General features: G+C 37.1%; 1 protein-coding gene across 15 annotated transcripts in view; it reads left to right on the top strand.

The window, feature by feature from the left end:
- NEBL (nebulette) overlaps positions 1-23,425 on the top strand; it is a 513,078-nt gene extending 489,653 nt beyond the window's left edge. For 14 of the 15 annotated variants that reach the window (NM_001377326.1, NM_001377327.1, NM_001377328.1 and 11 more), the window contains 2 exons: positions 16,090-16,196; positions 17,475-23,425. In NM_001377326.1, the coding sequence (NP_001364255.1) occupies positions 16,090-16,196; positions 17,475-17,651 (284 nt within the window). In that variant the 3' untranslated portion in view covers positions 17,652-23,425. The remainder of the gene's footprint in view (positions 1-16,089; positions 16,197-17,474) is intronic. The other variant, NM_001173484.2, reaches the window with a different exon arrangement.

The raw sequence follows: 23,966 nt of genomic DNA, 5'->3' as shown, positions 1-23,966 counted from the left end.
CAGTGGATAAATAATAATTATACATATGCATGAGGTACCAAGGGATGTTTCGATATATACACCATATAGTGATCAGAACATGGTAATTAGCATATTCATCATCTTGAACATTTATCATTTCTTTGTATTGGGAACATTAAACATCCTTCTAGCTATTTGAAACTGTATAATATATTCTTGCTAACTATAGTCATCCTACAGTGGTATAGAACACTAGAATTTATTTCTCCTGTCTAGCTGTAATTTACATGATAAAATGTATTATGTCCCAGAAAGACGTCCTTTAATATTTGGTTGCCTGCTTGTGGTCGAGGTGGGGTGTGTGGCAGTGGTGTCCTGCGGTGGCCGGAACCCTGAACTGGAGGACGAGACATTGGACTTAAGTCCCAGTGCTCTCACGACTTGGTCCGGGTTATCAAAGGGGTCATTTAACCTTATTAGGCTTAAATTTTGCATCTGTCATAAGAATGGCGCAGAACAAGAAGCAGATATTTTACATTTCCTCAGCTAAGTGCCCTAAATAAACTTTTTTTCTTTCTTTTCTTTCTATGTGTAAGAATGTGTTTATGTTCTGAAAGTGGTCTGTTTTACTTTATGAATGAAGTACTTGGGCAGTTATGAGAGTCACAGTTTTCGTTCCTTCTTTCGAGTAAGTTCTGATTGTTAGGACAAAGGGTTGAACAATCAACTCATTTCGTTAAGGCAAAAGTACAAGGTTTTCATCGTTCACATTTGGTTTTCATGAGCATTAACAGATAAGCCTTCTCCTTTAAGTTTTCATCATCATTTTGGTTATGTGTTTTCCATGATATTTTCCCATCTTACTTTGATTGTTCAGTATTTTCATTTTCCTATGTGATTATTTTGGACTTTCTTTACTTGTCAATCTACTTTTCAATGTATTAAGTTACCAAAGGGTTTGCATTTTACATCTCTACTGTGTTACTTTGATTTAAGAACAGAGGCTTTTATTTAACCTCTACCCAATTTTGTTTTGATTCATGAATAGTATTACTTGAAATTATCTTTACTGCCTTTTGGTATTAGATTCGCTTAACTTATATTTTATTTGACACACAGCTCCTTTGGTGAAAAGGATCCTGATGATTTCAGCTTATTTCACTGTGAGGTTTCCTTTGATCTTTGTGTTTGCCTCTAGTTCATTGCCTGCAATGTGTATCTGCTTCCCGGTATTACTTTGTGTTTCTTTGGTTTTCCTTAACTTGCAGTTTTCTGGTATTGAAAGTATTCGTATGTGCTTGCAATCTCACCTGGTGTTTACCTGCCTTGATTTGAACTTGTATTCAGTTTTGCTTCAGGTATGCTATGTGTTTCTGTTTTCCTCCGGAAAACGTAAAAGGATATGGGAGTGTGATGGGGAATGAAAAACAGATGCACTTTTCAAAATAAATATTTTCAGCTTTCCAACCTCGTGGCCTTTCCCATTTTGCTGTGAGAGAGTCTTATGGGGATGGCCTAGCCCTACCTTAACTGACTGAAAGTAAGTTTCTGAATTTTGTAGCAGTTTAACCCACCCTAGCCAGGCTATGCTTCCGGCGTTTCATCCCATGTAATACGTATTCAAGAGTTGCAAGAGATGCTTCAGTACATTCTGGAACTCTCAGTTTATTGTTCATAGCATATATCAAGAGGGCAGTGCATCAACTGTGCGGCCAATTGCCCTGGTGTTTTACTGGTACCCATAACTCCATCTGCTCAGTCATCAAACATTTATCTAGTATCTCTTGTATGTGTGAGATACTGGGAACACAAAAATAAAAGAAACGGGTACTGTTTTTAGAGAGCTCACATTCTGTTAGGTGAACCAGTTGCATAAAACCATTGTGCTCAGGAAAGCATTGTGATGAAGTATTGCATAGGGTTAGAAATAGCCAAGTAGAGGCCAGGTATGGTAACTTATGCCTGTAATTCCAGCACTTTGGGAGGCCCAGGCAAGCAGGTTACTTGAGGTCAGGAGTTCGAGACTAGCCTGGCCAACATGGCAAAAAACCTTCTCTACTAAAAATACAAAAATTAGCTGGTTGTAATCCCAGCTACTCAGGAGGCTGAGGCATGAGAATCGCTTGAACCCAGGAGGTGGAGGTTGCACTGAGCTGAGATCACACCACTGCACTCCAACCTGGGTGACAGAGTAAGACCCTGCCTCAAAAGAAAATAAAAAATAAAAATAAAAATAAATAAAATTTAAAGAGAGAGAGAGAGATAGCCAAGTAGAGAAATGGGAAAGGAATGTACTAGGCAGAAAAAGGGTAGACGAGAGAGAGCATAGCACGTTGGCAACTTGGTATAGTTCAGCACATCTTGAGGCTGTGTGTCTAGATGAGCTGAAGAAGAAGTCTGGAACTAGAGCACGGGCAGTGCTGAACCCCAATCTCTGCAGAGATAGGGCTCAAGGGAACATGGTCCCAGCACACTTTCCTTGGATTTTATCCTGTAGGAGACTTAAACGCTATTTAGAGGACCAGTGACCTACACTTGTAGGTGAGTGGAGTCTCTTCCTTGGAGGTTTAATCCATTCCTGGAGCTTTTCTAAGAATCTGGTCTGCATTGCGTTGTTTAGATTTTTACCAAGAAATTGACTCCTCAGGCATCAAGAGACCTTCTCAGTGGTCCGCTAGAGGGATTAATGATGTAGAAATAGTATTGGTAGATTTTTTTTTTCAAATATCGCAACCTCTCTTATTGTGAGCATTTGTCGTTTATGCAGAAGAGCAGAAACACTGAAATTAGATAACCAGAAAAACCTATTAGAAAATACACTCCTAGAAAAGGAAACTTTAGCACACAGTGGGAATGTAGATTGGTAGAGCCGTTGTGGAAAACAGTATGGAAGTTCCTAAAGAAATTAAAATAGAACTACCATACAACTCAGCAGTTCCTCTTCTGGTATATACCCAACCCAAAGTAGATGAAACCACCACCCTGTAAATATATCTGTACTCCCATGTTCATTGCATTTTTATCGTAATAGCCAAGATATGGAAACAACTTAAATGCCCATCAAAGGATGAATGGGTAAAGAAAATGTGTATATATACACATACAATGGAATATTGTTTAGCCTTTAAAAAGGAGACCCTGCCATTTGCCATAATATGGGTGGAACTAGAGGACATTATACTAAGTGAAATAAGCCAGACATAGAAAGAAAAATATTGCATGATCCCACTTATATGTGGAATCTGAAAAAGAAAGGTCAAATTTACAGAGATAGAAAATAAAACAATGGTTACGATGGGGTGGGGGGATGGGGAGTTGTAACTCAAATGATACAAAGTAGCAGATATGTAAGATAAACACATCTAGAGATGTAACATATAGCATGTGGACTGTAGTTAATAAAATTATGTTAGAGATTTTTGTTAAGTAGATTGTAGCTGCCCTTTGCTCGCTCTCTCACACGCGTGCGCTCTCTCTTTCTCCGTCTCACACACACACACACACACACACACGTGCCAGATGGTAGGTATGATAATTTGCTTCACTATAGTAACCATTTTACCACGTATATGTATCCCATACCATCATGTTGTAAACTTCAAATATACATGAGCTTTATTTAAGAAGAAGAAAATACACTCCTGATTTAGAACTATGTATCTTCATTTAAAATAAACTTGCTGGTGTTTCTATTTTAGCCACTGCTTCGGTTTTCTGACTACTGATTGGTGACCCTTCAAGATCACTCCCCAATCCAACTCCTTGCTAGCCTGACTTCTGTAAAGAATGTGCATTCAGCAAGAGAATTTCAGAATTTCAGTTGTACTTCCCAACTATATTTGAGTGTTATTTGCAAACTGAATTTGAAAAGTTGGTTTAAATTTGTCCCAAAAATGCTGTTGTGTTTACATTTGTCCAAAAAAGTGCTATCTTCATTTAAGTTTAGGAAGATATGAAGAATTGATGATTGAAATACTAAATGTCTGTGATGAACCGGGCACGCCTGCAATCCCAGCACTTTGGGAAGCGGAGGTGGGTGGATCACTAGAGTCCAGGAGTTCAAGACCAGCTTGGCCAACATGGTGAGACCTGGTATCTCCTAAAAATACAAAAATGAGCTGAGTGTGGTGGCACGTACCTGTGGTCCCCACTACTTAGGATGCTGAGGCAGGAGAATCACTTGAACCCGGGAGGTGGAGGTTGCAGTAAGCCAAGATTGCGCCACTGCACTCCAGCCTGGGTGACGGAGCAAGACTCTGCCTCAAAAATAAAATAAATAAATTTCTGCGATGAATCTAATCATTAGAAAAATGAATTATTTCTTTATAATGTAAATTCCAATGTGTAGGCTATCATATGATTATATTTTACCATCTAGTCTGTACATCTAGCCTGTGAAAAAAACACATTGTACATTGTTCGCAAGTATTCGTTCATTCTGTTACGTCCCTAAGAAAAAGTTTCGGGCAGCGAAACTTGTATTCCTAGTCTCAATAGAAATGGAATGAAAGAAATGTCATACGTTTTCTTTTCTGAGTGTGAAGTTGGGGAAAGGATCAAATACTAATGAATAGCACTTGTTCTAGAATGCACATGTGTCTTTCATCGATGTGCCAAGATTCAGTCAAAGGGTTCCGTATGTGTGTGAAGGAGAAACATCTGACACTTAAACTAGAAACAATACAACATTAAAAATACATTTCCTGTGAGGCTGAGTTGATTTGGAGAAAGAGAAGTTTTGATCTTCAGGAAGAACATAAATGTGGCTCTAGCATGTGTGTCAAATGAGAAAGCTTTTCGGGAAGAGCTTCATAAACTGTAAAGTGACATGCATGTAAAGGAGAAAATAAATATTCCTGCTTATCGGATGGTTGAACATTAGCAAATGAAATGAAAATAGTTGTTTTTGATTTATATAGATTAAAATCAATATCCAAGTTGGATCATAGACTGAACAGATATGCATACTTACCTGTCTGTCTCATGTGCAAAACAGTAGAGTCATAATGTGATCTCCACAGTCACAAATTTCCCTGCTTTTCTCCCACTTTCCATTTCAGCCAGGTGCCCCACATTAAGCCCTAGGCGTGTAGGTTGTGGGGATTGGTTCCTGACTTTAGAGGAACTCTTTAATATTTCCACGTGCTGGAAATAATACAGTGGGGAAATAGTGTATGAATTTTCTGCATTTTGCTTGCCCGTTATCTGTGGCCCTGGCTCTTTGTCATGTACTTTATCCCTTGTGGCGAGATTTGCTACTTATTACTGCCTGATCTTTCCCCCTAGTATTTCTGATATGCCCATGCTACATTTTTTTTTTTTTTTTGTAATTAGAAACAGGGTCTTGCTCTGTCATCTAGGGGCTGGAGTGCAGGGGCACAATCCTAGCTCACTGCACCTCTAACTCCTGAGGTCAAAGGATCCTCCTGCCTCAGCCTCTGGAATCACTGGGAGGACAGGCATCCTCCACCATGCCTGGTGAGTATTTTTTTGTTTTTTTGCGGAGATGGTTCTTGCTCTGTTGCCCAGGCTGGTTTTGAACTCCTGGCCTCAAGTAATTCTCCCATCTCAGCCTCCTGAGTTGCTGGGATTACAGGCATGGAACCACCATGTCTATATTTTTCATTCTGGTCCTTGATCTTATTCTTGTGCCATACCTGACCCATGTGTGTTAAACTTGTCTACTGTTCTGTCTGTCAAGTTCTTACCTTGCTCCTGTCTAACTATCCTTACGATTGTGTGCAGTCAACCTGTTGACCTCCCTACCTGGCAGGGAATCTTCATACCTGCCTGTTTGTTCAGACCCACATAGAGAATTTGGGCCCTCTGAGACGCAGACAATCATTCACATTTACTTTCTCGTATTTCTGTATCTTGAGATCATGTTGGGGACACATCGAGTCAGTTTTATATATGTCTATTTGTTGGAAAATATATATGTGCCCATTCAGCAATTTAATCAGCACCAAGATATGTCTATTTATGATATTTAGTGTGGCTTGTCACTTAGGATGTCTAGTGTAAAACTACGTATCAGAACTCCTTATGGATTGATGGTATTGTCTAAGGGTCAGTATTAGAATACATTAGTTCAAGAAAAACCAAAGGCAATGCCATTTTAAGTCTTTAAAAAATGTTACATGCATTGATCCAATACATATTTCTAGAATATCCTCTGCAGTGGAATAATGACAATTTCTTTCATTGTACTCGAGTAATGAATCTTCATATTAAATATTGATTTATACAACATGGACAGTAGTATTCACTGAGGAAAATTGGGATTTGCTGTTAGCTGACTCTTCAGTCATGGCATAATTTGCATCTACAAGCTAGTCTTGGTGATAGGGATACATGAGTGGAAATAGCATCTCTGTCTACCTGCCAGTTGTATGTTCTGAATTGCTTTCCCCTTATCGAAGAACTGCCCAGAATTACGTAGTTCTTATCAGGAAGCTACATATGTGTCTGCACTGTACATTCCTTTCTTTTCTTTCTGTCTTGTTTTGGGGGATAGCTCACACGTGTTCATGTGCACACAGACATATACCATATGGATTTTGTGCCATGAGAATAATTATTAAAGACTCTATAATTTGGGGAAGAAATTATTTTCTTTTCCCTCACCGACAATCCTGCTTATATTTGTGGTTTGAATTATAGTTACAACTTGCAGAGTTTATCCTAAGAGAGATAAAATGAGAAACAAATCTGAGGGAAAAAAATGGAAGTGGCAATTCGAATCTAAATGTAGAAGTAAATGGGCTAGATTATTCTGAAGTAAAATAGCAGAAATTCTAAAATCTAAAGCTATCTAGTTGTATTTAAACCATATTATGGTTTAGCTCAGTTCTGTCAGAACATTTGCAGACTAATTTTTTCTAGAGAAAAAGCAGTTGGCTTCAAAATCAAAATGTACTGATTTTCTTGGTTTGTGAGGCTAATTAAGTTTAACTGGTGGAAAATTAAAAATACAACTAATGTTGTGTGTTTTTTCAATATTTAGGAACTGCAGAGTCCCCAAGATAATATTTTAGAGAAGTTTTTTTTTTTTTTTTTTTTTTTTTTTCTTGTTTTAGACTGAGTTTCACTCTTGTCACCCCAGGCTGGAGTGCAATGGTGCAATCTCGGCTCACTGCAACCTCTGCCTCCTGGGTTCAAGCGATTCTCCTCAGCCTCCTGAGAAGCTGGGATAACGGGCGCCCACCACTACGCCCTGCTAATTTTTGTATTTTAGTAGAGGTGTGATTTCACTGTGTTGGCCAGGCTGGTCTCGAACTCCTGACCTCAAATGATCCGCCCGCCTCAGCCTCCCAAAATGCTGGGATTGGAGGCATGAGCCACCGTGCCCAGCCTAGAAGTTCTCATTTGAGACAACTAAGTCAAATATATCAATGAAGTGCTGAAATGTAATGTCTGCATATGTAGTTTAAAAAGTACAAAGTATGTATGTTTCCTTTTGCAGTTCACAGGCAATAAAGAATCTTTAATCCATTAATATTTAAGGAATATTATAAACCTGGTTATTTATATTTGGGGAAGAAAATGGTTAAAAATCTCATGGAATTAATTGTATTTTCAACTAAATCTTTCATATATTGGTGACAGCATTGCTTATTCTAATACTGATGGTGGGAGATCTTTTTCAGGCAGCGTTGTACACAGTGACTTTGAAGATTGTTAGGTGCCATCACTATGCAGCTGTTGTCACTCAGTGGGAATGTGGTTGAAGTCACATTAGGAGACGTGATATTGAACATAGGCTTGAAATTTATCATACAAGATAAGGCGACTAAATATTTGCCCTGGATAAAATAGGTTGGTATTGGCAATGGGAAAAAGAAAAATTAATCTGACATACACACACACACACACATTGCACACGCACACTCTCTCTCCCCAGAGACTTGTCAGATGCTAAAATGACTCTTACAATAAATCTAAAAGTCATTGCTTCAGAAATGATGCTACTTTATTTGAGTTTGCTTTTCCAAAAGTGGGTGAATTTCTGCCTCTACAATTTCTTCCAGAGATGTTTTAGCATACCTCATCAACCACATACACATAAACTTCTGGTTGGATGTTTACCACACATATACACACAAATTAATGACAAATAGAGTAACCTCTATGAGCCTAACAAGCCTGGCTGGCACATATCCTGTGCATTTAAACTCATTTTTCTTTACCTTTCCCTCTTTCTCACTTCTACTGCCCCAAGCAGGAAGGGTTGACCGCCTCCTTTTCAAACTTCAGATCCAGTCTTCTTACTCCTAGAATCTTCTCTGCTCAACATGCCATAGTACTCTTACACTTTTCTGAATTCACAGTGGTTATTTTGAAATTAATCTCACACTGTTTTGTCATTTCTTCTGTAATAATTTAGGTTTAGTATAGTCAAGAGTTTGGGTTCTGAAGTCAGATTTTTGGCATTAAATTCTGGCTCCCCCTCATTTCTGATATTTGACCAAATTACTTAATCTGCTAACCTTCAGCTCCTTTGTTGGTGAAAAGAAGATTGTGGTGACAGTTACACCAACTAAAGCATGTGACATCCTAAGCGCAGGGCTGGAACATTGTAAGGAAAAAAACCGAACATCCCAAATTGCCCGAGACTAAGGATGTTCCTGAAAAGCAGAACTTTAAGAGCTAAATTAGTAAAATCTTGAGCTAACGGGGTTGTAAGCATTTTACTTATATTATTAAACTTTTATTGTGTGCAGATTCAGTATTCCTGGGGAAGTAGAGTCTTATGTTACCTCTTTCCCCCACTAACTTTCACAGGGGTATACACCTGAGTGCTTAAATACTTTTATGTAGGTTGCATTTTCTTATAAAGATGCAGGTTGCACAATATGAATATGCTTAATGTCAAACAACTGTACACTTAACGATTAAAAGGATACATTTATGGTATGTATATTTCACCAAAATAAATAGATTTGCAATCTTAAAGTAATAATGGCGATAATTGTTTTATCACTATAAGTAGTATGTATTACTGTAGTATGGTCAGCAGTAAGCAGGATATAGTATATACTATAAACAGGATACATTATAGGAATAGAAATAACATTTAGCTAAAACTAGAAAATTAAAACAAAGATAATATGAGAGTCTAGAAGAGGAGAATTGATTATTAGGATCCTAGCATTGGCTTGAGAGAGGATTTTTGATTTTGCAAAGATATTTTAGGCTGTACACTTCCTCCTTCCTCTCAGCTGATGACCGCCAGGTCCTGCTCTGCTCCACCCCAAGGAAATGGGGTCCGCTTCCCCTCGCCTCGTGGCACTGGCTTTCCCAGGAATGTTGCACGCTAACCTCCAAATTATTCTACAATGAGCTTTCTCTTGACTTGGATTTCTTCCTGCAGTCCCAGGCTGCTTCCCGAGGCCCAGGTTCAAACATTCGCCTCCACAGATATTGGAAACAAAGCACTGGGGGAAAAGAGGGAATTGGGGAAATAGCATGTTTAAAATAGAGCCACATATACCCCTAAATTCCTGTCAAATGGGGGTGAATGAAGCCCGCCAGTTCGGTAGGTCCGCATTGTGGCTGCTCATTTGAAAAAACAAGACACCAGCCAGACACAGTGGCTCACTCCTGTAATCCCAGCATTTTGGGAGGCCAAGGTGGATGGATGGCTTGAGCCCAGGAGTTTGAGACCAGTCTGGGAAACATGGAAAAACCCCATCTCTATGAAAAACACAGAAAAATGAGCTGGGTGTGGTAGCATGCACCTGTAGTCCCAGCTACTTGGGAGGCTGTGGTGGGAGGATCGCTTGAGCCTGGGAGATGGAGGCTGCGGTGAGCTGAGATGGCATCACTGCACTCCAGCCTGGGTGACAGAGCCAGATCCTGTGTTAAAAAAAAAAAAAAGAAAAGAAAGAAAGAAAAATAAGACACCATTATGCAATTTCCTTTACCGCCACCCTAGATTCTGATTTATTATAATTGGTGTGGGGGACCTGAACGTCATATGCAGTCAGGGTTGAAAACACTGCAAGTAACTGATTCTTCCTCTGTCCTCAGTCCTTAATCTCCTGTCCTTCCTTTCCAGGGTTTGTTGCTCCTGCTGAAACTGAAGATTTAACATATAAAACAGTAATGACTGCTTTTATTTTTAAATGATTCCCAAAGCTTGAGCTTAATTATTTTGTATCACGATGATTAGGCATGTCTTTAAAACTTGGTGGTTTTAACTCAATTATAGAGCACTTCATTTTTATATTGAAGTCTGGGTATTCTTAGTTTATTATGCAGTAAGCCTGTTTCTTCGGCACTTCCCTATTCAGAGCTTATAATTAAGAATCTGCAAACTAAAATCTAGAGGCAATCTGGCTTGCTTCTGTATCCTGCAGGGAAGGAAAAGGGGTTTCTGTAGTGCTAAGAATCCTTTCAGATTAAAAAATAGCATCTTGTTTCTAGATTGCATATAAACTTTGTGGACTTAACTCCCACTTATGTCTTGTGATCAGATGTGAATAGGACTTGAGGCTTTGACATGAAACTCTCAGTGACACGTGTAAAAGCAATTTGAGCAGAAAGGTCCATACCATGGCCGTGTGTTATAACCAAGCAGCACAGCCACCTTGCTCATGGACTAGACAGGAGTTTTGTTTTTTTTTTTTTTGAGACAGAATTATTTTGCTCTTGTCACCTAGGCTGGAGTGAAAAGGCACGATCTCAGCTCACTGCAACCTCCTCTTCACAGGTTCAAACAATTCTCCTGCCTCAGCCTCCCAAGTAGCTGGGATTACAGGTACCTGCCACCAAGCCCAGCTAATTTGTAATTTTAGTAGAGTTGGGGTTTCACCATATTGGCCAGGCTGGTCTCGAACTCCTGAGCTCAAGCAATCTGCCTGCCTCGGCCTCCCAAAGTGCTGGGATTACAGGCGTGAGCCACCATGCCCGGCCAGGACTAGACAGGATTTAACTAGGATCTAGTTCATTATTTAATACTTACTTCAAAACTAGCAGCATAGTCCTACTTTCTCTTTTAGCAATTCCTCTCTGATTGTCTAAATAGGGGTTCTTTGTCCTAAAAAGAAAAACAAAACCTCATTAAGTTATTTGACATACATTAGCTGATAAAACAGTAGTCAAGTGTTAGAAAATATGACAATAATTGCATTGTGTCCTAGACTCTTTATTGGGAAATTTCTGAATGGTGATTTTCTCCCTTTTTCTGGATTTTTTCAAAAAGTAAGCCCATAGGAAAAAACCCAAATTATTTTCTCTTTTCACATTACATCTATAGTTAAAGTACCATTTTTTTCTTTTTCTTTTTCTTTCTTTCTTTTTTTTTTTTTTCTATTTGGAATTTGGCCATCGACTGTATCTCTATAGTCATTGAGGGGCCTTCAAAACCTTCACCTTTTCTTTGATGACTTGAAACCTTAACTGTGGCTTCACTGCACAAATAATTTTTTTGCTGCCTTCCTGTTCAATCTCTCAGCCTCTGTTGTATTTTGTTCTGTAAAGTGGGAATGGTATCTGTTTTAGATAGTTGTTGCAGTAATTAAATGATGGCATACAAAGCACCATGAACACCAAGGACACTTAATCATATTCTCTTCTTTCACGCACTCTGCGTACATCCCCCCCAGTGAACTTCTTTTTGAGTACTCTTCAACGTTTCTTGTGGGTACATTTCTTCCTTTCATTTACTCTAATCTTTGTGTATTTACGTATATTTCCTCTTTTCCAGTTTCAGATTTGGTGAGCCTCTTAACATGTTCTTAGCATGGTGCAGTGCTCACGCCCATAATCCCAGTGCTTTGGGAGTCTGAGACAAGATAATTGCTTGAGACTGGGAATTTGAGACTAGGTTGGGCAATGTAGCAAGATCCTGTCTGTAGGGAAAAAAAAAAATCAGCTGGGCATGGTGGCGTATGTCCAGCTACTTGGGAGGCTGAGGCAGGAGGATCGCTTGAGTCCAGGAGTTTGAGGCTGAAGTGAGCTGTGATCACATCACTACTCTACAGCCTGGGTGACAGAGTGAGACCCCATCTCAAAAAACACAAACAAACAAAAAAACAAAACTTTTCTTCCTCCCTTTTCATCTTCTCTTTTATGATCTTCACATGTATTCACTTCTTTATCTTGGTTTTATCTCTTTCCATTTTAATAATAACCATTAAGCAGAAAATAGCCTATCTGTGGAAGTACTTTATTGTACAGTAGAAGAGACATTTTGATGTTATAAATGTTGTAGAATATTCCATATAGAGCCTGAAATGCTTAGAGCTTTAGACAGCTTCTAGATCTTTGGTCAATAAATCTTACCAATGTGAAGTGAAAGTTGAGTCACACTTCTGTGTATTTTCATTGACTTAGTATAACTAAAACTATTATTTGTGGCTTTAATCTTGTTGACATAAAACAACCTGTCAAACTCAAACTCTTTGGTTAGAAAAGCCATTGTCCCCCATTTGTAGCAATGCTAATGGTATCTGATGACTAGTTTAATAAACAGGGCACTATGCTTTTACTCTTTGATTGAAAAGCCCTTGTTTGTTGCCAAATGAACCTGACATCTTACTTTTTAAAAATCCTTTGATTCCACATGTTCATGGAAGAAATCTCATACATGGAATAGCTATCTTTCAACCAAATTCTCAGTGAACCAAATGTGAAGCCATTGCTTTAGATTTCCTTTTGCTTGTTTTATTTACCTAAGTTTCCAAAAAAGGCATTCCTGTAGCATAACAATAGAAAAGCAGTGTTTATGCCTCTTCTTAAATTGCTGTTTGCTTTTACTAAGTTGATTTCTTTAGGCTTTCAATTATGTTTGTCTTTGTTTTTTTGTTTGTTTGTTTTGTTTTTTTTTTTTTGAGACAGAGTTTCACTCTGTCGCCCAGGCTGGAGTGCAGTGGCATGATCTCGGTTCATTGCAACCTCCTCCTCCTGGGTTCAAGTGATTCTCCTACCTCAGCCTCCCGAGTAGCTGGGATTACAGGCACACACCCCACGCCCAGCTAATTTTTTGTATTTTTAGTAGAGATGGTTTCACCATGTTGGCTAGGCTGGTCTTGAACTCCTGACCTCCAGTGATCTGCCCACCTCAGCCTACCAAAGTGCTGGGATTACAGGTGTGACCCATCAGTTATTTTTTTTATAACCCCTATAGGAGTTCCCTAAAAACTCTTTTATTGTACCAAGTATAAGGTAGATAACTAGGTTTTATAATCCCAAAGAAACTTTTTAATAACTAATTCAGCCAGATGGCAAATGAGAATAATCAATAAAGGCATGAAGATAAACTGCAAGGGCTAGATAGATGGCTTATGTTTATTCCAAAGTTTCTCATTCTAAACTCCCTTCCCTGCTGTCTGCAACATATACACATTTAGAACTAATACATTACTTTCTTTTCTTGCTATATTTAACAGTAGCACAGGTTCCCTTTCAAAGTCAGATATAAGTAAGGAGTAGGCATAAATATAACTTGTATGTGTGTGTGTGTATATATATATATATACACACACATATATATATACACATATACACACACATATATATATACATATATCTATACATATATATATGTGTGTGTGTATGTGTATGTATATATATATATAAAATTTGAGATAAGATTGCTCTCTGTCACCCAGGCTGGAGTGTAGTGGTGAGATCACATGGCAGCCTTGACCTCCCAGATACAAGCAATCCTCCCACCTCAGCCTTCCAAGTAGGTGGGATCACAGGCATGCACCACCACACACAGCTATTTGTTTTATTTTATTTTTAGTAGAGACAGAGTCTGCTATGTTGCTCAGGCTGGTCTCAAAACTTCTGGGCTCAAGCAGTCCTCCTGCTTTGGACTTCCAAAGTGCTGGGATTACAGGCATGAGCCACCATACCCAGCATACTTATTTTTTGAAAGCCAAAATGAGAAAACATTGTTAAGCAACATTCTTGAATTGTCAGCACTTAACAGGCACTAAGCTGGGACTGTGATGTATAAACTAGGTGAACCTAAATGTATTACAGAGTGTGAGATAGCCTATTTTCCCAAATTTTTCAATGTCCATTCCTGAAAGTTTTTCTTAAACATTTAAAGATGGCTGTGCTTACCTCTACACATTAAAACTTAAAGTTCACAGTTAAATGGTGTAACAATGAATTAGAATTTAATTTTTATAAATTTACAGAGATGTTTATATTTAATCTTTCAAACTTTACAAATAGATTCAAGTAGTAATTAATGAAGCCATGAGTTGTTTAAATGGTTAAAAACCAGTGCAAGACTAACAGTCTGGAGTATGCAGGCTGAATCATTTAATTGGAAATACCGTGAGTAGCCAGTGCCATTTTGTTAATTGGGTAAAAGGCCAGGTGCCCAAGACCCTCGGTGCTCCAGGAGAGCAATTGTTTTTGTCACCCCTTTTCTTCCTGGCATGCCTTGAACATAGTGGACAGTAATAATTATTGTTACCATTTGTGAAGGCTTACTATGTGCCAGGAAATGCAGTATGCTCTGTGCACGCATTAACTGATAAATATTTGCTGAGAGCAGAGACAGTGAATGAATCAATGGACAAGGCTTCCAGAGTCTAATATAGAAAAGCCTCCCTACTCAGCTAATTAAGTGGGCCTGGAGATCTATGGGAATTTCATTCTTTTTTCTTCGTGAGTGGATTTTGACAATATCTTTAACATCTGTTGATATCAAATATTTAAATTTTGTTGATAATGTTAAAAAGTGTTCTTTTCTGAAGTATTTGATATTTAATGATGTTTTAATGACTTTGCAATATACTATAATTCAAGTGGAGATCTTGGCAGTTTCTCTTTGGTCCCCTATCTGGACATTAAGCATAATTTGTAATAACTTTATAAGATAAATTCACTCAAGAACTATTTAAAAAATCCCCTTTCAATCTAATATAATTATCATCTGGAGAACATATTAAATGATTTGTAATTTTCTGATGATTAAACTTCTTTAAAGTATTGATGTTCTCACTTATTAGAGTGAATTTTCTACTTATAAAATATTAATTATTCATAACACTCAGAATTAAATCTTATTTCTTTTATTATAAAAACTGTTCTGAATAAATCAACCCATTATAATTACTTTATATACTCAACCTGATTAAACAAAAATGGCAAACTATTATATATTTTATAGCACATATGACTATAAGTTTTACTAATGTAGCACATAAATTTTTCAAAAGACAATGAAGGGCACGCTACGAAAATACCCTCATTTATAGCTCATGTTTCTGGTCACAGATAACTTAAACACATTCACAGAGAAACACACAAGCATATGTCTGCTGATTCTGTGGGGTTTTAAAATCTAGCTTCTGTGTTGGCTTCTCTAGAATTCCGAGTTCTTCAAAACAGGAACTATGCCTTTTGAATGTCATAATTAGTGGTTTGGAGAGCACATACTAAATGAATACTATTTTGATACTTTTTTAATATAGAAGAATAATGTTTATGAAATTCTTTAAGGATTTGGTTTCTCAGGCTTTTGTAACGTATTTAGCTGACTTATTTAGTCTTGATAAGTCAGCTGAATATCACTCCTTCATAAAACAAAGACTTCATATATTCTAAGTAAATGTTTCTTTAAAGGGTATGGACTTTTTGTTAACTACCGAACAAACGTGTTGCTAAACATACGTTATGTTTGCCGTCTTTGTAAAAGTAACATTCAGCTGTATGTCTTGAAATATTGACAGTATCTGTTATATGAGAAATACCCTGTGAAAACACTTATACTCTATCATTAAATTCCTTTAAAATTCTTATTTTTCTTTTGGAAAATGCCAAAAAGGATCACATGGTCGAATAAAAACATGATTTCATTAAGGGAGTATGAAAAATTTTTGTTTATGTTTTTAACTGAGCATCTGCAATAGAGCCACAAGAATATTTAAAGCATATTTAACTGCATGCTAAGCTGAGTTTCTTTATGTGTCCCTAATTACTAAGATTTCTACTAATCTAGAGATCACTTATAACACTGCAACTTAAATTTCACAACACTGAAAAGGCATTTTGTTTCAGAAGCTTCTAGCAGAGCATAACATCACTCTGAGGGTTTGGGATGGGTATTTCGAGGCTAACTTTAAGGAATCTTTGTGTGTGTGTATGTTTAACATGCAGCACCTGTTCTTCCCGGAGCCTATCAGCAAAGCCATTCCCAAGGCTATGGCTACATGCACCAGACCAGTGTGTCATCCATGAGATCAATGCAGCATTCACCAAATCTAGTAAGTGTCCATTTGATACGTTCCTCCTTAGCTGGTCTTCCCATTTCCCCTCAAGCATGTAAATACATGTGGAATAGAGTTGAATTGAATATTGGGTATTTTCATTTAAAGATAAATGATGATGTGTTGCCATTTATACAACTCTTTTGAAGGAAGCAAAAAACTTACAGAGGTAAACTGTTGAGAAAGGAAGGCATTAATAAGCATTACATAAAACAATAAAACATACAAAGAATCTACCAGTACAGTATCCTAATTGTTACTTCATGATTGGTACTAGCCGATTATGCTCTTTACTCATGCCTTAGGAGCATGGATATTTGATGGTTGTATTTACAAGTTCATCTTAATCAAAATGAACACAAAAGCCTAAATTATGTGGCCAAAATATATCTTCAAATCCCCCATTGGAAATCTTGAAGAACTGGTTCATATATTCAGTGTAAAACTTGGAAGAAGTGTTCAACATTTGCTAGTTATACTTGGCTTCTCATGCAGAAATTTCTTCTACAAGCCCTCAACATAGTCTCTTGGTCTTTGCCTCAACACCTAGAAAACTCTTCTACACTGTCCGGTAACTTGAATTGCTCTAAAATTCTTTGGGTCCCAGCCATGTCCTCAGTCTGTGAATGTACTTGATTTTGAGATTGTCTGATGTTAATGTTAGCTAAATGCTTAGCCTTAAACAAAAACAAATATAGGAAAACTCATTATAATCATAATATAATAAGTACAATTGAGTATGTATCTTAACATTCAGGACACTTATATGCTAAATTTCTCTCATAGTGATACAGAAACCTATATAGTGAGTATGTTATGAGTTTTTTCTTTCATTTGTTTTACATAGTTTTAAGAGGAAATGAACATTTTTAGCATCAACTTAAGAAAAGTACATTGCCAGGAGAGATTTGAACTTCTCTGACATATGACGAGTTTTGTTCTCTGAAGAATATGAAATCACATATTATCTAAGGTTTCTGGGGTTATCTGAAGTTGGGGGGAACTTGGCTTTATTATTTCAAAGCCTACTTTTTGATGGGCTACCTGTCGTATTTAGTGACTTTTCTATCCCTGTTCCAAAAATATTAAGCTATTTGCTAGACTAGTAAACTTGAGATCAGCACAATGAGATGCTAGGTTTACAGATTTCCAGAGATACATGTGTTTGAAAACATTCCTAATAGTTACTTTATGTGTGGGTCGGTGTGTTGTGATTGGAATTTGTGGCTGTAGCTATTTCGGCATTCATCGTATAATCCCTTCTTCCTTTCTCAGAGGACCTACCGAGCCATGTACGATTACAGTGCCCAGGATGAAGACGAGGTCTCCTTTAGAGACGGCGACTACATCGTCAACGTGCAGCCTATTGACGATGGCTGGATGTACGGCACAGTGCAGAGAACAGGGAGAACAGGAATGCTCCCAGCGAATTACATTGAGTTTGTTAATTAATTATTTCTCCCTGCCCTTTGAGCTTTATTCTAATGTATCCCAAACCTAATCTTTTTAAAAGATAGAAGATACTTTTAAGACAACTTGGCCATTATTTTACAATGATGTATCCTTCCTTTGACAATTAGACACACAGGTACCAGGAAGAAGGAATGACCTCTGGGCTGAAAACAGCAGCATTTTCAGTAATTCCTACAAACAAAAATCTTTGTGTCTGGACACCTGGTGCTGCTAATTGTGTTCATGGTTTCCTTTGATTGGCTATTGAACCCTTCTGGGAAATGTATTTTTGTAGACTTTAATAGAGAAGTTGATTGTCCCTTAAATGTAGTGTGTGTTTGAAACTTCTTAGCTGTCACTTTGGAATCACCCCAAGCCAATTCTCTTAACTCTGTAATGCAGCCAATAATTTCAAACCCGTTTTGCTTTTGAGTCATGAGGCAATTTCCAATATTAGTGAAAATTGCCCAATATAATAAGTGTAAACAGTGGCAGAAGGACAGTCTGGTTAAAATTATATTGACTGGTGGCCTTAGGGATCTAGAAACTTCTACTAAACAGAGAAATTTCCTTGTTCCCTAGGCTGACTGGTATCTATTTATTTCTCATTTGTACCAAGGCATCTCCTACTCTCCATTTATATTCTATGGACCCAAGTCTATGCTCAGTTCCACAGAATGTCAGGACCAAATAACTTCACAGCTACTCTGCAAAGGGCAAATTATAATGTCATTGATATAATTTCCCTAGTAGCATTTACCCTGTTGCATGTCATGTAGATTCAAGCTTCTGTAACATAGGCAGCTGCACTGCGCGTTCCTATTATTGAAGCAAAAAGGGTGACTGATACCTAAAAGCCCTTTCTTCCTCTAGTCGCCAGCTCATCAGAAAAACATACTTTGAAAAGATGCTTGAGATTTTCCTGCTGCATCGCACTCTAGTTTTGAAGGATTTACATCTTAGGAAATAACATGTATACTCTAGTAAATAAGCGATTTAGGTGTTCCATTGAACAGCTTTGATTAACTTAATGCCACCATTGATTTCAAAGTGAAGAAAATGTAACAGAAGCCAGTGAAGCAATGGAAGCTGGAGTGTGACTGGAAAAATACTCAGCAAACAAAGTTACCAATTCCATACAGAGATGATCTGGTATCTTCTTTTGGAAAATGGTATTCAAATTCTGGAATGGAAATCTAGCCACCAAAACGGGTTAATCAAAAGACGTCCTTTTCCATTTTTTTTTGCTTTTATTTTCTAAATCATTTTTAAGGGAATGAAACAGGAATGTCATCAGAGATTTTTTAGTACAGGCCCAAGAGCCTGTTCTCTAAGAAAGAAATTGTTGCCATGTTTTGATTTTCGAATAAGTGACTTTGCAGGCTTTATGCTAGCCCTTGCTGGTGGGTCTTGAAATTTCATCCAGAGTCTGCAGTCCAGGTCACCAAGCCAGCGGCACCCGTCGGCAACCCTGTGTTTTTCTGATTGTGCCGTTTACTGTGACCTGCAACGGGGTGGCATTCACTTAGGGTCTGACTTCACAGCTATGACAAAACCGAAAAAGCAAAACTGCAAAAAAGTACTAAGATGTACGGGTCTTGGGGATATCTGCCTTATATGTTATATTCAAGGAAATTAACAAAACATCCTGTAAAACATCGTTTAAGGAAACGTTTACTAGTCCAAAGGCCAAAGCTAATTTATTTCCACTTTAGAAAAGTTAGCACATGCTTTTGAAAATCTGTGATTTCATTTTATTAGGCTAAAAGGGTAAATAGGCTTTATTACACTGAAGCTGCATCTATATGTCACTGACATAAAGTTGAAAAAATAAATGCAGGCAAATAACTAGAGACTTCTTTTAAGGGGGTTTGGCTGGTTTTCTCTCACTGAAATGGCCAGTCGTGATTAAAGTGATAAAACCCCATATCTGTTTTGGTATATTGTACACAAACCTACAAAAATAAACTGAACTTGCAATATTTTTGCAAAAAAATCTGTCGTTAAAACTGAGGATAAAATACCTGCTCAATTTTATTTTACTAAGTATATATTTACATTTCACCCAGGCAGGCCATTTTCTTTTGTGATTATAAGAAAGAGTAGTTGTTGATTAAATTTTCAGACTAAATATAGGACAGGTACAATTTTGGATAAATAGCACATTTATAAGAACCGCAATGAAAACTGACTTGAAATAATGCTTGTAATCAGGAAAGTAATTTCATCCACCGATTTCAAAACCAGATTCACTGAGCATAAAAGTCAATACATATTTGAGGAATAAGTCTCCTAAAATTTTAAGCTTCACGTAATAATGTTTGCATAGCAAAATATTTCTGCTTCAAGCCTTTAGGAATTAAGATCTGATCAGAATTTAACTAAAGGGTAGTTGTTTTACAATGAAGACTAAAACTGAACAAGATGTTGCATGCTCTTGAGGCCATAATTTGGTAGTGTTGGCAGTTGTTAATAAAGCTTGTCAGGATGTTAAGCATCTCAGGAGAAATATTGGAAAATTATATGTATAAAACCAAAGTGCTATTTTTAAAAGCATCATTTAAAAAAAAATGACATGCCTGAACAACTTTTCCACTTTCCACGTGCTTCCCTCCCACCTTTGGTTTGGCAACAGGTATCTCGTGCATGAAGCTGACAGCTAAAGAAGATTTTAAAAATTGAGTTAAAGATGACTGTGTAAATGTCCAAGCACAGAGAGCATGCACCTGACTTTCTAAAGTTTGATGTGTTCTCAAGCCTGACAGAAGCACAAGGAACAGTTTGATACACTTTTAAAAGGTTCTGAAAACAAAGCTGTATAGGGATCCTCTCTCTCTTGAGCAAAGTATAGCAACAGAATATATTGCTTTTGTTGTAAGCTTTTGTAGTACATGTTTTTACTAATAATTCTTGTTCTCTAGAAAGCTTTCTATTTCTAACCTATGGCAAAATGAATCCTTCATGTCTTCTTGTTATTGTTTACACACTTGCAGTGTAGCCCAGTTTGAAATATTTATTTGGTTATCAACTGCCCATGGAGGAGGCTCTTGATGATCCCAGGTCTCCTCGACCTCCATACACCACACAGGCATTTGTAAGCACAGTTTCCACAAGCACCTTGTAGGAATATGGATAAGATTAGACCAGCCCCTCTCTGTCCACTGGGTTTATTTCTTGAAGAAGATGCAGATCTGGTTTTTCCAATGTGCCACAGTCTTTCCTTATCCTCTCCATGCTGAGCTTGACAACACTCTGGGAATGAGGAACAAGACTTTTTCTAAAAAGATAGTGGAAGTTCAAGGGATGTACCTCGTTTTCAGGTTCATCCATCTCCAGTGGAATGTTTTCAATAAAAGATGAAGAAAATGTGTGTGATCTTTAATAACACATCCCTATAGAAAGTGGATAAAAGATATACCAAAACTGTAATACAGATATATACAAATATAGGTGCCTTTTTGATTACTCTTGTTTGTCTAGTATGCTCTTGGAAAGAAAACCAAGCAAGCAAGTTGCTGCCTATTCTATAGTAATATTTTATTACACATGATTGATATTTTTGTGGTAGGGAAGTGGGATGCTCCTCAGATATTAAAGGTGTTAGCTGATTGTATTTTATCTCTAAAGATTTAGAACTTTAGAAAATGCCGACTTCTTCCATCTATTTCTGAAAGGTTCTTTGTGGATTTATATAGAGTTGAGCTATATAAACATTAACTTTAGATTTGGGATTTAAAATGCCTATTGTAAGATAGAATAATTGTGAGGCTGGATTCACTACACAAGATGAACTTCACTTCATAAATTAATTATACCTTAGCGATTTGCTTCTGATAATCTAAAAGTGGCTAGATTGTGGTTGTTTTGGTTAAGGTGATATGGAGGTGGGAGAGCTTTTAGTTAAGTAAGAAGCTATGTAAACTGACAAGGATGCTAAAATAAAAGTCTCTGAAGTATTCCATGCCTTTTGGACCCTTTCCTCGCAACTAACTGTCAACTGTTGATCAAAAAAGTCAAGGCATTGTATGTTGCTTCTGTGGTTATTATTCTGTGATGCTTAGACTACTTGAACCCATAAACTTGGAAGAATCTTTGAGCAAATTTTCTCAGTTGTCTGTATGACTTCAGTATATTCCTGGGAATGCCATAGGATTTTTTGTGCTTGATACATGGTATCCAGTTTGCATAGTATCACTTCTTTGTAATCCAGTTGCTGTTAAGAATGATGTACTTTAAAGGAAAAGAGAAAACTGCATCACAGTCCCATTCTCCAGTGTCCATGCAATGAATTGCTGAGCATTTAGGAAGCAGCACCAAGTCTATTACAGGCATGGTGTGAAACTTGATGTTTGACCTGTGATCAAAATTGAACCATTGTACAGTTTGGCTTCTGTTTGCTTCAAAATATGTAGAATTGTGGTTGATGATTAATTTGCGAGACTAACTTTGAGAGTGTAACAGTTTTGAAGAAAACATTGAATGTTTTGCAAATGAAGGGGCTTCACGGAATGTTACAATGTTACTAATATAATTTGGCTTTTGTTATGCAAATTGTTAACACCAGCTATTAAAATATATTTTAGTAGAAATGCTTTAATTCATATTTTTTTCCTCTACACTGTGAATCTTTAAGCCTTGGTGGACTAGAGCAACATCGTGCTGCCCAAAGGACTAACCTATGCAAACTAGTTCACATTTTAGTGGATGTCGCAGTTAATGTGTAATAAGACATTATTTCCCCTGCATAATGTACAACAGCATTGAAATGACACATTAAGCCTAGCATCACATTGTATAGTACAGTCACTCACAAACCCTTCAAGGCTACCCTAATCATTAACATTAATATTTGTTTAAAAGCAAATCACCGATTTATCTATTGAAACTACTTAAATGACGGCAAACCAGGAATGACAGATGGCTGTGTCAGCAATGGCTTTAATGTGTTCCCTGCAAGTGGTCTCCTATGATAGAACTGCGTTCTCAAATGCACTCTCTTCAGGGTCTTAATATTCTGTGTTTTCTCTCTGTATTTGTAAAACATTATAACACATTAATTTCCTATCTCTACACATTTGGTTTGCTTAAATAAATGCAGGATATAAAAAAAATGGTTCACTTCTTGGCTCTCACCGTGGTTTCTTGGAGCATGGGTTGTTAGATGCAAGCAATGCACCCTAATAATACCCCGGGTCTGAGATTTAACATGACAACTCACATCAAATCGCATCAGAGGTGTGTGCTGCCTTCAGTGCATTTACATTGGTGAATCAGTCAAGATATTTTCCTCCCCCAAATAAACTTAGTTGTAAGTGATAACAATATTATGCTTCTCCAAGCTCAGTATCTTTCTGATTTTATATCAAAGTACCGCAACAATGCATCATTGTAGTTAATTTATTTCAAGAATAAATTCCTCATATGTCCTCAATAGTACAATTCTAATTTTCTTCTATTCATAAGATGAAAGAAATGGTTTGGAGCATAGAATAGAAAGTGCACAAATTGAGTACATAAAATGGGAAGCAACTGATTTCTCAGCTAAGAAAGGCTCATTTATCACAGAACACAATTGCTTTTCTCCCCCCACTACGCTTCCCATAATTGAAAAAGTGAGTCCCTATTTTTCACACTCATATAAATCTATGCGATTTGGATGCTAGTCTTATTGTATTATTTTGTAAAACTTTCTCTTTGGCTCATAATCCTTCCTAATTGTAAATTGATAAACTTTGCGGATGACATCTGCTCGTAGAATAAACACTTCTTCCAAATATTGGATTTTCTGTTTTTCATATTCCGTAAGTATGAAATGAATATTTTAATAGTATTATGAATCAAGCACACTGTATTTGAAATCACAAGACAGCACAGTTATTTATTTGAAGAATTCACTACCTTTTTTCCCTCTGAGACTTTTTTTTTTTCCATTCGATTATAAATTTACTCTTTGTAACCCAGGCCACAGAGGAAATGAATACCTTAGATTTTTTTTTTTCTGACAAAAAATAATTTAGCTTTTAAACAGACTGTGCTTATAATTTTATTTTCTTAAACATTTGTGAGGTTTTACGGGTAACTATGACATGCGCACCAAACAACTTTTCTACCAAAATAAGTTTCTACAAAAATATATAATAAACTAAAAAGTAGGTAAAAGGGGATTTTTTTTTTTCTTCATATAATCTGCTTTGATATGGTTTGGCTGTGTTCCCACCCAAAATCTCATCTTGAATTGTAATCCCTATAATCTCCATAATCCACACGTGTCAAAGGAGAGACCAGGTGGAGGTAATTGAATCACAGGGTCGGTTT

Source organism: Homo sapiens, chromosome 10 (assembly GCF_000001405.40).
Source record: "Homo sapiens chromosome 10, GRCh38.p14 Primary Assembly".
In the NCBI taxonomy this organism is placed as follows: domain Eukaryota; kingdom Metazoa; phylum Chordata; class Mammalia; order Primates; family Hominidae; genus Homo; species Homo sapiens.
This window is presented reverse-complemented; position numbering and strand designations above follow the sequence as displayed.